Source organism: Homo sapiens, chromosome 21, assembly GCF_000001405.40.
Source record: "Homo sapiens chromosome 21, GRCh38.p14 Primary Assembly".
NCBI lineage: Eukaryota > Metazoa > Chordata > Mammalia > Primates > Hominidae > Homo > Homo sapiens.
In genome coordinates this window covers 38424442-38438389 of record NC_000021.9, presented here as the reverse complement: position 1 = coordinate 38438389, position 13948 = coordinate 38424442, and the positions used below count along the sequence as shown (strand labels likewise).

The 13948-nt window shown below is 43.8% G+C and overlaps 1 protein-coding gene across 9 annotated transcripts in view; it reads left to right on the top strand.

Moving 5' to 3' along the window:
- Positions 1-13948, top strand: part of ERG (ETS transcription factor ERG) — a 294523-nt gene that overhangs the window by 223394 nt on the left and 57181 nt on the right. The window lies entirely within an intron of this gene.

The window sequence follows — 13948 nt, the reverse complement described above, 5'->3', positions numbered from 1 at the left end:
TCTTGGGATAGAGTGATAAAATATACAAAAAAGTTTTGCCTCACTAAGTTCACTTTCTAGCAGTGAAGATGGTCATGACATCAGACCACTTATGAAAACACAGCAGGTTAGATCATGGTAAATGCTAAGGAGAAAAATAAAGACGTGAAGCGGATGGCAGCTCTAAAGAAGGTGGCTGGAGAAGATCACAAAAAAGTGATGTTTGAGTAAAGCTGCAAAGGCAGTTGAGGGAGAATGCCCGTGATTAAACAGCAGAAAATATTCCAAGAGGAGGGAATGCTAAATGCAAAGGCCCTGAGGTCAGCTTGAGGTGTTCGAGGACAACAAGCAGGCCATCGTGGCTGCTGTTTAGTGTCCAAGAAGAAGAGTAATAGATGATGAGTTTGGAGAGCCCGTGGGGCCATTGCCGGACTTTGACTTTCACTTTCTGGTGAGTTCAGAAATCATTAGGGGACTTGAGGCAAAGGAGGGATATAGTGTTACTTAGATTTTGCAGGGCCTCTCTGGCTCCTGTGTTGAAGTCTTCCTGAGAAAATGTGGGTGTAGGATGGGAGACATCTGCGTGAGAGTGGGTGAGAGTGGTAGCAAGGGAGGGTGGGAGAGGCAGTCGCATCCTGGGTATAGTTGGAAGGTGGAATTAACGTGCTTTGCTGATGGGTTGGACATATGGCATGAGGAAAAGAGGAAGCGAGGATGGGCCAAGGCTTGGGGAATGTACCCCAAACAAGGTACGGACAAACCATAACTAGGAATCCTCATGAGCATAGAGGCCCCTTTAAGGGCCCCTTTTAAGCATCACCCCAGACACTGGGGACAGGAACTTCTCTCTAATAAACACCAGGTAAAACAAGAGGCTCTTGCCTCCTTGCCTGAGCTCAGTGGATCTTAATTCATTAGCCCAGTGGTTCTCAACCATCGTGATGTGGCCCCCAGAGGCATTTGCCAATGCTCGTGTTTCTGCTGGTCACAGCTGGGAGGTGTTACTGGTGTCTGGTGGGTAGAGGCCGGGGACATCCTGCAGTACACAGGGCAGCGCCCCTGCAGCCCCCACCCCCACCTGTCCAAAGAGTGACCTGGCTCCGAGTGGCACTAGTGTCGAAGTTGACAAATGCTGCAGGAAACCAACGTGTATTTAGTGTTTAATCTGCATCATGGACTGTGTTAGCTTCGATGGAGATGGATTAAGAATTAAGTGAAGCTGGCCGGGTGCAGGTGGCTCACACTTGTAATCCCAGCACTTTGGGAGGCTGAGGTGGGCAGATCACTTGAGGTCAGGAGTTCAAGACCAGCCTGGCCAACATGGTGAAACCCCCATCTCTACAAAAAATACAGAAGTTAGCTGGGCATGGTGGCAGGTGCCTGTAGTCCCAGCTACTCAGGAGGCTGAGACAGGAGAATCACTTGAACCTGGGAGGCAGAGGTTGCAATGAGCTGAGATCACGGCACTGCACTCCAGTGACAGAGCAAGACTCTGTCTCAAAAAAAAAAAAGAGAGAAAGAAAAAAAAAAGGAACTAAGAGGAGCTCATGGTCTACCAAAGGTGAAAAAGATTCTGTGAGATCATAAGACACATTCAGTACAGAGCGATGTTCAGGGCCCAGCAATAACAGATATGAGGGTACCATCAACTCTACCTGGGCAGGAGAAAAAGACCCTGAAAGGGATAATATTAACCCATATTTCTAAAACCCACATGATTTATTAATAGATTTTGGTATACAACATATTGTCCAGTTTTCTCAAACATCTATGAGATGACATTATTATGATTATTCACATTTACGGATGACCACTGAGTTTCCAAAAGTTTTCGTCACTTGCTCAAGTGAAAGTTAGTGAAAGTGAAAGTTGGCCATTTGACCACAGGCCTGGACTCTTCTTCACTCCCTCAGGGCTTCTTAGAAGAAGCTGAACGTCTTTCCTGCATTGAGAGGGATAGCAAGGTTCTCTCCACGTGTCAGACAAGCAGTGACAAGATGCACCAAATCCAAGTGCCAACTGCATTTTGATTTTTTGTATATGTTACACATTTTAGAAACATTTATTACTATCTTACTTTATCACATCAGGTCAGTTCACCTGCACTCACCTTTACATTAACCTCACCAGGTGTTTCCAAAACAATCACATTTTAAAAATAATAGGTGGGTCAGGAGTTCGAGACCAGCCTGGCCAACATGGTGAAACCCCATCTCTACTAAAAATATATATTAAAAAAAAAATTAGCCAGGTGCCTATAATCCCGGAGGCTGAGGCGGGAGAATCGCTTGAACCCAGTGGGGGCGGAGGTTGCAGTGAGCTGAGATCGCGCCATTGCACTCCAGCCTAGGCAACAAGAGCAAAACTCCGTCTCAAAAAAAAAAAAAAAAGAAAAAAAGAAAGTAAAATTGTTTTGGTTACCAGGATTCACCTGGCCTGTTATAAAAACATGAAGCACCATACTGGCTATTGGGCTCAATCCTTTCTTCTCTGAAAAAGGAGTCTTTCAGACAAATTAAAAGACGTGCACAAGATAGAAAAGATGTCACATCTGATCTTTGTCATGTAACTGCTTGTAGAGATCTTATGCTACAGAACATTTTGTTTTCAAATGATGAATCCCAAAATGGTGCATTTCCCTCCAGTTTTCAAGATCTAAAAGCAACACGGTCTTGCTGGCATTCGTTTTTGGCTGTAAAGAGAAATATAAACTTAAATAATGAAACTTTCTCAGGGAAACATCGAGCCCCTTTAAGGGGACAAAGAACTAACTGTTGGTGAGCTGGTGGTGACTTTTTAATTAATTTTGTCTTCAACTGCTTCAGGGAAGGGGGAGGGAACAGGACTGTTGGGAAGAGGCTGAAATTCCAGGTGTAAGAGAGAATATTTAGTAAGGGTAAAAATAACACACAGCTGTGAAGACAAACATCTACGGTTTCAGTTTGAGCCCGGAGTTCTACATGAATCACTGCTGAGCTCCACCCGCTGCTCCAGCCATGGGGTCTGAAACAGCTTTTCCACTGCCTCTGATTCAGAAATAAAACAGACCCACAAATTACCCTGCAGCGCTCCAGACAATCCCCTCCTTGTCTGGGGTCCTAAAAATACCTTTTGTGGTGACTGACCTCGATTCACACTATGAAACTTGATTAGGAGCTTGCTCAGTCGATTAGGACTAAGTATATGCTTTTAGGATCCTTATGAAGAAAACCACCTGAGAAGGGATTTATTTGTATTCAGACTTGAGACAGGCCTGGAATGCTTGTCCCGGGCCAGCCTCCTTGTGGGGGTTCTCTCGCAGAACTGACCCCTTTGCCCTCTTAGGGTAGAGCTGCCAAAGAAAGCCTTTCCATTTCTTCCATGTGGCTTCCTCACCAAGTTCTTCTTAATGTGAACTAACCTAATAAACCAAAAGGAACATTCAGAAAGACAGTGACATTCCAAAAAGCAGTTGCATGCTGAACACTGCACAATAGTAAACCTTAGCTTCCTGACCTACCTAAGAGTTCACCGAGGTACAGTTATGAACAGTTGCCAAGAACAAAAAGCCTCACATTTACACCCACATACACGCATGCACAGCCATGCACATGCAGTATGTTGCTGTGTTAATCTGTATAGTGCTTCACAGTTTGCAGACTTTCTTCACAGGCATCATCTCAGGGATGTCCTCACAGCAACCTCAAGAAAGCATCCATTCATTTTTATGAATGAAGGAGTTGAGCCTCGAAAGGTTAGGTGACCCATCTAAGGTCAACCAAGGTCAGCAATGGTTTTCTGACTGCAACACGAGGGGCTTTCTCTTGCACTGCAGGTATGAGATAAGGAACTCAATATTTAAATGGAAGATTCATTCATAAATGTACTCACTCATCCTGCAGACACTTACTGAGAAAATACAGAGAATGGTGCAATTGGAAGGGAGACATTCCTCTCTGGCGGCCCAGGAAAGGCTTGTAGAGAACCTAGAGGTGAGCATGGACAGGTGAATAGAGCAGGTACCAGGTGGTGAACAGGTGAATAGGGCAGGTATCAGGTGGTCATAGGCCTTGAAGGCAGAGGGAGTAGCAAAAGTGAAGGCCTGAAGGGAAGAGACTAGGGGGTGATGTGGAATGTGGTCTTTGAGCACAGAGCACATGGAGTTGGGGAGAGGGGCTTTGGCTACTCAAATGCCAGCCCCATGTTAATAGAGACACTGATATAACTCCAGTACCTGGGGCAGTGCTTGGCCTAGAAAGATGCTCCACAGATATTTGCTAAACAAATGAGTGAATTGAGGGGCTCCAGAGCCAGATCACTGAGGAGAATCTAGGGAGGGGCTCTGGGCCATGATGGGGGTTAGGTTGGACATGGGCAGCTTGCATTTCTGTTTGGGGGAGAGCACTCTGGTAGCAGGAGGGAGAAAGCTTTGGAAGAGTTCGGGGACATTTCACCAGCATGTGATGGAGAACAAGGGGTTGGAAAGTCGTGTCCAGGTGCAAGAGGAATTCAGAGGATTAGGAAGGAGGATGGCTCTAGAAGAATAGGTAGATTTTCGACAGGATTAGCGGGTTTGCCTCCACTGACTCAAAGAAGAAGACATATTGATTTCCGCAATTACATTCTGACTTGCCTTGGACTTTCTCCAAGGAGTGGGCCCCTGCTAAGTGTTCTGAAGTGAGGGTGAATCAGATTTAATGTGGCCAGCGAGCTTGGGGCTGCCCCTCTGGGATGTATTCAGTGCCGTTCTTGGATAAATGAGGCCCATTCACACTCACAAGGGCTGAGGCTCCATGCTTGTCAAGCTAATGGCCACGGCTGTGCCATTTCATTGCGGGTTCTTTCCATGACGGAAATTGCCTCGCTGTAAGTAGACTCTGATGTGAGAAAACCAAAGTCAGATGCCAAGTTTATTTTGTTTTTCAAAGACTAAAGACCAAATTTTACATTTCTCAGTATGTTTTTTCAGTAATATTAGTCCCCACCACCAACCCCGCTTTTTTTTTGTTTAAGGGGTATTATGTATGGACGACAGCTCAAGGAGGCTTTCATCTTGGACTTATTTTATTTAATCTTAAAAAATTAGATTGACTGCTTCCCCAGTGGTCCAGCTCCTGTCCTGGTCCTCACCTCCATCTTTTTGGGCCTGCAGTCAGAGTCAGATGCACTCCCACTCGGCTGTCTCGTCATGGGGACTTTTTGTCTGGTTTCCTTTTGCACTTAAGAATGTTTGCCCATCATCTGTGTAAAACATGCACCCTGCTGGGCACAGCAATGAAGTTTTGGGGAGAAGCATAGAACGCTTAACTGCAAATTGAGATGACTATTTCTTTTAGACCAAACTTATCAAAACCTATTTATATCTCTACATAAACATTGCCACCTTCCAAGTCTCCCACGGGGCCCTGCCTTGCTCCTTCGTGGCTGCCCTGCTCAGCTCACGTCTGTAACCCTCATCCATGACTGTCTTCAGGGCCACTCTGAAGATGTTCTTTTAGAATACTTAATAGTGATGAAATTAAGTTTTCTGAGGATCCATTCAATGGTGCTTTAGGTCTATGAAAGACTCCTCACACGGATTTACCAAGCAAGGGCATAGAGTGGGGCGGTGAAGTACTTGGAGTCGAGACCATGACTATCTAGGTTCAAATCCCAATTCTTCCACTACTGGCTGTGTGATCTTGGGCAAGTTATCCAACCTCTCTGTGCTTCATCTGTAACAAGGCTCCTGCTTTCGAGTATTTCTGTCATGGAGATGTGCAGATGAAATGAACTAACAGCAATAGCTGACACCTGGCGTGGTCATGTGCCAGGCACCATGTTAAATGCTTTATCCATATGTTTATTATAACATAAACACGTGGAAAGAGTCTGGAGCCATGCTCATCATTAGTCAACAGTGAAATACTGGTTGGAAGATTAACCAACTGAGGCCTGGAAAGAGTTGTTTACCCACAGTGCATTTGGTGCTCTTGGGAGACATAAACATGACCCTATTTAGTGTTGGTAAATTTGAATTTAAAATCTAGAAATTAGGGGTTTCAGTGCAGCAGCTCATGCCTGCAATCCCAGTTCTTGGGGAGGCTGAGGTGGGAGGATTGCTTGAGGACAGGAGTTAGAGGCCAGCCTGGGCAACATAGTGAGACCCCATCTATACAAATAATTAAAAAACAGCTGGGTGTGGTGGCACGTGCCTGTAGTCCCAACTACTTGGGAGGCTGAGGCAAGAGGATCGCTTGAGCCCAGGAGTTTGAGACTGCAGTGAGCTATAATCATACCTCTGTACTCCAGCCTGGGTGACAGAGCAAGACCCTGTCTCTTAAAAAACAATAAAATCAAATCAAATCTAGAAATTTGGGAGTTATGAAACTAGAGGCATGTATAACACTGCATCTCTCAAGGTTTTCTCCTTTTTTAATTACACGTTTTTTTCATGTTTTTGCATTGACTTCTCTGACAGGTCTGATCTTTCCAATGGCAGCCAGTAAGGAGGAGAGGCTGGGGACATGCCGTCTCTCATCCTCTGTGGCTGCAGCATGTGAGCACTGTGTGCAGGGAGCGTCCTGCTCTGCCACCAGCTACGCCTGGCACGGTGCGGGATGGTCTTAGATGTATTATGAGATGTTGGGAACGATATTGTTTACTGCATAATCCAGTTTTCTTCATGAGAAGCCCCGAGAAAAACTCTCAAAGCTTAACCCAGGGAGAGCTTTATTTCTGCTGAATAACTGGTTTGTATGTAGCTTATTAATACCTCAAACCTTGTCATCAGATGCACTTGTGTCTTTGCTTTGGCTAGTAGAAAGCTCAGAGTTGAATTGGTATCCTACCTCAGCAGGATAAATAGTAAGCTTACTCAGTGGGCTGCTTTCATCTCTTAATTCCTTTTTGGCCCTTGTTTCCTCATTTTTATTCTGTTAATTATTTATGTTATCATTTTGTCTTATATGTATTTTTATAAGCCACCCCAAACTTCACATAGCTTGCACACAGGTAGGGGAATAATGGCTATTTAAAACCACTATACATATTTATAAATAGAACTCTGGAGTTGCAGAGGAAAATTACGAAGCCCCTCCCTAAAAAACTGTTAACGAAGCTAAACTCTTGTTCATCCAAGTGGTTTCCAGACAGTCATGTCTGGGGGCTTGAAAATGGGGCTTCTTCCAGCCCTCTGATTCAGTAACCCTATGAGAACCCAACTGGGCTTAGCAACGTGTCTGCCTTCTCTCCTTAACTCAAATTTAACAAAATTTCCAATGTATTTGATATTCTTTGCCGTGTCCTTTTCTCATTAATTCAGAATACTAGTATGTTTTAAGAAGTCAGTGCTCATGATTTTAAATGATTAGAACTTAATTCTCCAACTGCTGTTTAAGGGAGATTATTGTTTGAAGCTCAACAAGCCAGTTTCATTGGGCACGTCTCCAGTTACTAGAAGAAGGACACCAGCATTCTGGTTTTTTTTATTTCCATCATGAATGTTTGGTTGTCTTCCTACACTATTTCTGTGTTCCTGTGAGTGACCACAGTTATGACCAAATGCCATGGAAAAGTGTGAGATTGCTGCAGAGGTTACACTCCTCAAGGAGTGTGGCCTGTAGTCCCAGCTATTCATAGGGAGGCTGAACCAAGGAGGATTGCTTGAGCTCAGGAGTTTGAGGCTGTGTGGCCCCAAGGGTGTTGCTAGGGAGTTGTGAGGTGTTATGGCTGGCTTTTTAATATCCCAGCCATTGGGCTATTGTTCAGTTCTTTCTCAGAATTCTGAACCAGCCCCCCACCTCTTGGGGCCCCCTGGCTAATGTGGAATTTCTGCTGCTGTGAGCAGAGGGAAGTATCTGTCTTCCCAGCTCCTGTTTACTCTTGTTGATGCCACATATTGCATAGGACTGTCAAGACTAATGTCTGTGGGTGACAAATAGAACCTGGAACTGAAAATGTAAATTTGAGAATAACAGTTCATGACCAAGAATCCAAAAGCAAATGCAACAAAAACAAAGATAAATAGATGGGACTTAGTTAAACCAAAAACTTTCTTCACAGCAAAAGAAATAATCAGCAAACAGACAACCCACAGAGTGGAAGAAAATATTTGCAAACTATGCATTTGACAAAGGACTAATATCCAGAATCGACAACTCAAACAAATCAGCAAGAAAAAAATAAATAATTTCATCAAAAAATGGGTTAAGGACATGAATAGACAATTCTCAAAAGAAGAAATACAAATGGCCAACAAACATGAAAAAACACTCAACATCACTTGTTATCAGGGAAATGCAAATCAAGACCACAGGGTGATACCATTTTACTCCTGCAAGAATGGCCATCATTAAAAATAAAAAAAAAATAGATGTTGGCATGGATATGGTGAAAAGGGAACACTTTTACACTGCCAATGGGAATGTAAACTAGTACAACCACTATGGAAAACAGCATGGAAACTAGTACAACCACTATGGAACTAGTACAACCACTGTGGAAAACAGTATGGAAAATTAGAAGTAAAACTACCATTTGATCCAGCAATCCCACCACTGGTTATCTACCCAGAGGAAATGAAAAAGACACTTGCGCATGCATGTTTATAGCAGCACAATTCGCAATTGCAAAAATGTGGAACCAGCCTAAATGCCCATCAACCAATGAGTGGATAAAGAAAATGTGGTGTGTGTGTGTGTGTGTATATATATATACACACATATATATAGACATATATGCACACACATATACATGTATACACACATATATACATATATACACATATATGTATATATGTACATGTGTATACATGTATATATACACATATGTATATATGTACATGTGTATACATGTACATATACACATATGTATATATGTACATGTGTATACATGTACATATACACATATGTATATATGTACATGTGCATACATGTATATACACATATGTATATATGTACATGTGCATACATGTATATACACATATGTGTATATGTACATGTGTACACGTGTATACATGTATACACACATGTTTATATGTGCGTATGTACATGTGTATATGTGTACATATATATGTATATGTGTACATATTATATATGTATATGTGTGCATATGTAGATATACATATATGTGTATATGTACATATATACATATGTATATGTGTGGGTATATGTGTATATATGCGTGTGTGTATATACACACACACACCATGGAATACTATGCACCCATGAAAAGGAAGAAAATGGCATTTGCAGCAACTTGGATGGAGTTGGAGACCATTATTCTAACCGAAGTAACTCAGGAATGGAAAACCAAATATTGTGTGTTCTCACTTATAACTAGAAGCTAAGCTATGAGGACACAAAAGCATAAGAATGATACAGTGGACTTTGGGGACTCTGGGGGAAGCATGGGAGTGGGTGAGGGAGAAAAGATTGCACACTGGGTACAGTGTTTACTGCTTGGGTGATGGGTGCAACAAAATCTCAGAAATCACCACTAAAGAACTTATTCGTGTAACCAGACACCACCTGTTCCCCCAAAACTATTTAAATTAAATAAAAAGACAAAATGATTTTTGTTTGTCCTCAAAGGAGTCTGTGAGAGCAATATCTTGAACCACGCTTATTTGCAATAAAGAAATTTCCACCCCAAACAAAAAGACAGATACATTTAATATTTACTAAATGATTATCTGTTTGACAGGCACCTGCTGAATAGCCTGAGAATATTCTCAGGAACTGCTGCAACACACATATGCAAGTATGTGTATGTTTAAAAGTATGTGTATGTTTAAAAGGTAACTAGTCTTCATTTCAGGAAGGCATCAGGGACTCCCTGACCCATACACTACTCTGGTTTAAAGTGTACATTGCAGCACTCATCCTGACACACTGTCCTACTTCAGGACTGTTCATTCCCTGCACAGCATACTCTTTGTCATGTGCACAATAAAACAATGCATTGAACGTCCAAATCCTTATCATGTGAGAATGGAGAACACGTGGTCCTCTATGCTGGGCAGCGCTTGGTGCAGGTGACATACCAAGCTGTTTGCGGGAACTTTTTCCCGGCGATGTGTGAGCCTCGGAATGCCTGGTGAAGGTGGGGTTGCAGTGGAGTAATCAAGACACACATTTGTGCAGTGTGGATCTTTTCTTGGGCACAGAGCTAGAAATGTATTTATAGTGAGACTTTCAAATGAACACTTTTCAGTTCTCTGAATTGTGATAAAATTTCCTTTTCTTTTTTTCTCTCTTTTGTTTTTTTTTTGAGACACGGTTTTGCTCTGTTGTCCAGGCTGCAGTGCAGTAGCATGATCTCAGCTCACTGCAGTCTCAACCTCCCCAGGCTCAGGTGATCCTCCCACCTGAGCCTCCTGAGTAGCTGGGACTACAGGTGCACACCATGCCCGACTAATTTTTGTATTTTTTGTAAACACATTTTTCATGTTGTCCAGGCTGGTCTTGAACTCCTGAGCTAAAACAATTCACCTATCTTGGCCTCCCAAAATGCTGGGATTATATGCGTGAGCCACTGTGCCTGGCGTCCTTTTCTTAAGTAAAGCAGATATCTCTGAAAATTCTTTTCTTCTCCAGGAATCACTCCTCTTTCTTATTTGCATCTTGTATATGTGCCCTGTTTGTGTCATGCACATGCTTTTCAGGGAATGAACAGTCCCAGGGTAGGAGAGTATGTCAGGATGAGTGCTTTAGTGTACACCTTAAACCAGAGTAGTGTATGGGTCAGGGAGTCCCTGATGCCTTCCTGAAATGAAGATCTAGTTACCTTTGAAAAGACATTGTCTTGCCTTTACTTTGTGGAGTCATTCTGTTCAGGGTTAAGAAGCAGGGATGGAGAGTTCGGGCCACCCGCACTGAAGTCTCATTCTACCTCCTCCTGGCTGTGAGTCCTGGAGCCAGCCCCTTGTGTTTTGAGTACTCAGTTCACACCTCTGGAAAGTGGAGACAATGCCAGCAACACAGTTCGCTGTGGTGAAGACTGATAACTATTAAGCTCCCAAAACAGATCCCAAACATGTTAAGGCTACTCTTTTGCTGTTAAAATTTGCAAGAGAAACCTGGGTGAAGTGGCTCACGCCTGTAATCCCAGCACCTTGGGAAGCCAAGGCAGAAGGATCACCTTAGGTCAGGAGTTCGAGACCAGCCTGGCCAACATGGTGAAACCCCGTCTCTACTAAAAATACAAAAATCAGCCAGGCGTGGTGGCAGGCGCCTGTAATGCCAGCTACTTGGGAGGCCAGGCTGGTCTCGAACACTTAGCCTCAAGTGATCTGCCTGCCTCAGCCTCCCAAAGTGCTGAGATTACAGGCATGAGCTGCCGCAACCAGCCTGAAGGATCTACTTTAATGTCACAGAGAAACTCTTGTGATCTATGCCTAGAGTTCTTGTCCTCGGATATGAAAATTAAACTAGAAAGAACTAAAAGAAAATGAAAAAGGGGTTGGTCTGAAGGGTTCAAAATCCTCAATGTCCCCTGTTTCTATAATTCTTTTTTTTTTTGACATGGAGTCTTGCTCTTGTTGCCCAGGCTGGGGTGCAATGGCGTGGTCTTGGCTCACCGCAACCTCCGCCTCCCTGGTTCAAGCGATTCTCCTGCCTCAGCCTCCCGAGTAGCTGGGATTACGGGCATGCACCACCACGCCCGGCTAATTTTTTTTTTTAAGTAGAGACAGGGTTTTTCCATGTTGGTCAGGCTGGTCTCAAACTCCCGACCTCAGGTGATCCGCCCAGCTCGGCCTCCCAAAGTGCTGGGATTACAGGCGTGAGTCACCACACCTGGCCTGTTTCTATAATTTTATACATCTCTTTGATCTTTTACTTTTCAAATTGTTAACTGCGTTGTTGGAGAAGAAAGAATTGATGGGACCTGGTATACGGCCGGCACTTGATAACAGCTGTCTAAATGGATGAGTGAATGATTGAATCTGAACAAAGGTTGTCTAGATTTTATAGTTGTTACTTGAGTTACTCACATCATCTGGGCAAAGTCTTTTTCCTAAAGAACCTAATCCCTCTAACTTCTCTTCCCTGGTAACTTCTCTCCTTGAGACAAATATACCAAAACATATACACTCTACTCAACTGATGGAATTTTCCAGAGGAATAGGAAACTCAGTCTAAGTGAAGACACTCTGTGTTTTCATATTAGGATGGGTCTTTTAGAGATAAATGTGTGAAGCCAGGAAAAATAGCATCAAGAGGAAATAATGCATGTGTAGGCAGCGGTGGAAATATTCAGGATCTACTTCATGGGAACTCAGACCATTATTATTTTAAAATTTCCTTCATGTTAGCACAGCTGTGAGGATGCCATCAGGCAGGGCTGTGCATTCCAGGCCCATGTTAGGGCCTGAGTCCTGCGTGACCCTGACTGTAACCTCCATCCGCAGATGGCAGTGTACCCTCTTCACTGCCAACACCTAAGATCCCTCCATAGGCTTCAGACACATTTGTAAGTGATGCTGAGAACAAACCTATATTTTCAAGTTCCCACATGCTGAACAAACACTTTCCCTTCCTGTCCACATCCCAGCTATGGCTTTCAGGTGTGGAATGACCTTCTCCATCTCACCCCACTCAGAAAGTGCGCTCCTGCCTCAGATGGTTTTGACCTCCTTAGACTTGAAGTTCACATCCATGCCAAGCCCATAGTTTTTTGATTGTCCAAGTTCTCTGCAGAACTCCAACTAACAAGAAGTGGAGGAGATAAATGAGGCTTCATTGGCGTGGATCCCACAACCAGAAACACTGGGATAGAAATCTAAAATCTAGAGAAAGCGAAGGTTCCCAGATTCCAAGGAATATGAAAAAAATGTATGCATTGGATAGAGCCTGAGAGGCATTTCTGGAAATCCGCCTTAGACAACAGACCCTAAATATTAATACTTCTCAGCTACAGTGACCCTGGGTTTACCATCTACGTGTTAACCATCTAAGAAGGCACTGACATGTATTTTCTGTTTTCTGCTTAAGCTGGATTTTCTCTCTCTTTTCTTTCTCTCTCTTTCTCTCTCTCTTTCTTTCTTTCTTTCCTTTCTTCTTTTTTTGATGGAGTTTCACTCATGTTGCCCAGGCTGGAGTGCAATGGCGCCATCTCAGCTCACCACGACCTCAACCTCCCAGGTTCAAGGGATTCTCCTGCCTCAGCCTCCCGAGTAGCTGAGATTAAAGGCATGCACCACCACTTGCCCAGCTAATTTTGTATTTTTAGTAAAGACTGGGTTTCTCCATGTTGATCAGGCTGGTCTTGAACTCCTGACCTCAGGTGATCTGCCCACCTCGGCCTCCCAAAATGCTGGGATTACAGGTGTGAGCCACCACTCCTGGCCCTAAGCTGGATTTTCTTTTTAGCATTTCCCTATCAGATGCGATTTCACCAATGTCCTGTAGCTTTCACAACTCACTGTTTAAAATGTTTTCCTTTTCTTTTTCCAGAAAGGTAGGTTTGACTTTATCCAAATGACAGTGACTGCCTTACTAACAGCAGCCCTGTGACCTGTTGCCCACGGTCAGTAGTCAGTAGCTGACCCCTCTCTGCATCCACACAGTTCCTTCCCTATCCCTTTCCCAAGGGTCCTCTAGGACTGCTGGAGTCCACTCCCCATGAGGCCTCCCCTAGCGTCAGTCCTCACCCTTCCCTGCCCTTCCTGTCTACACCTAAGCCTGGAACACTGTGAGTCTTCAAAGCTCCATATGTAAAGATTGGCTGCAGGGATTTGAAATTGAGCAGGAGGATTTCATTCTGAGGTTTTGAGAAGGAACGTCGTTCCAGGATAAACCTCACTGAGCAGCGAGTGTCCCTGGTGCCGCCCCACAGCATCTGTCTACTCTGCCTGTTTGCTGTCACACCGCGAGAACAAAGAGCAGTTCACTGTTCCCTGCAAGTGTCCCCAATCAGTTGTCACAGATGGAGTTTTGACATGACAGTTTCAGGAGGAGCTGCTTAAGAAACAGAAGCCAGGTGGTAGTTCCGCCTCCCTTGTGCGTGT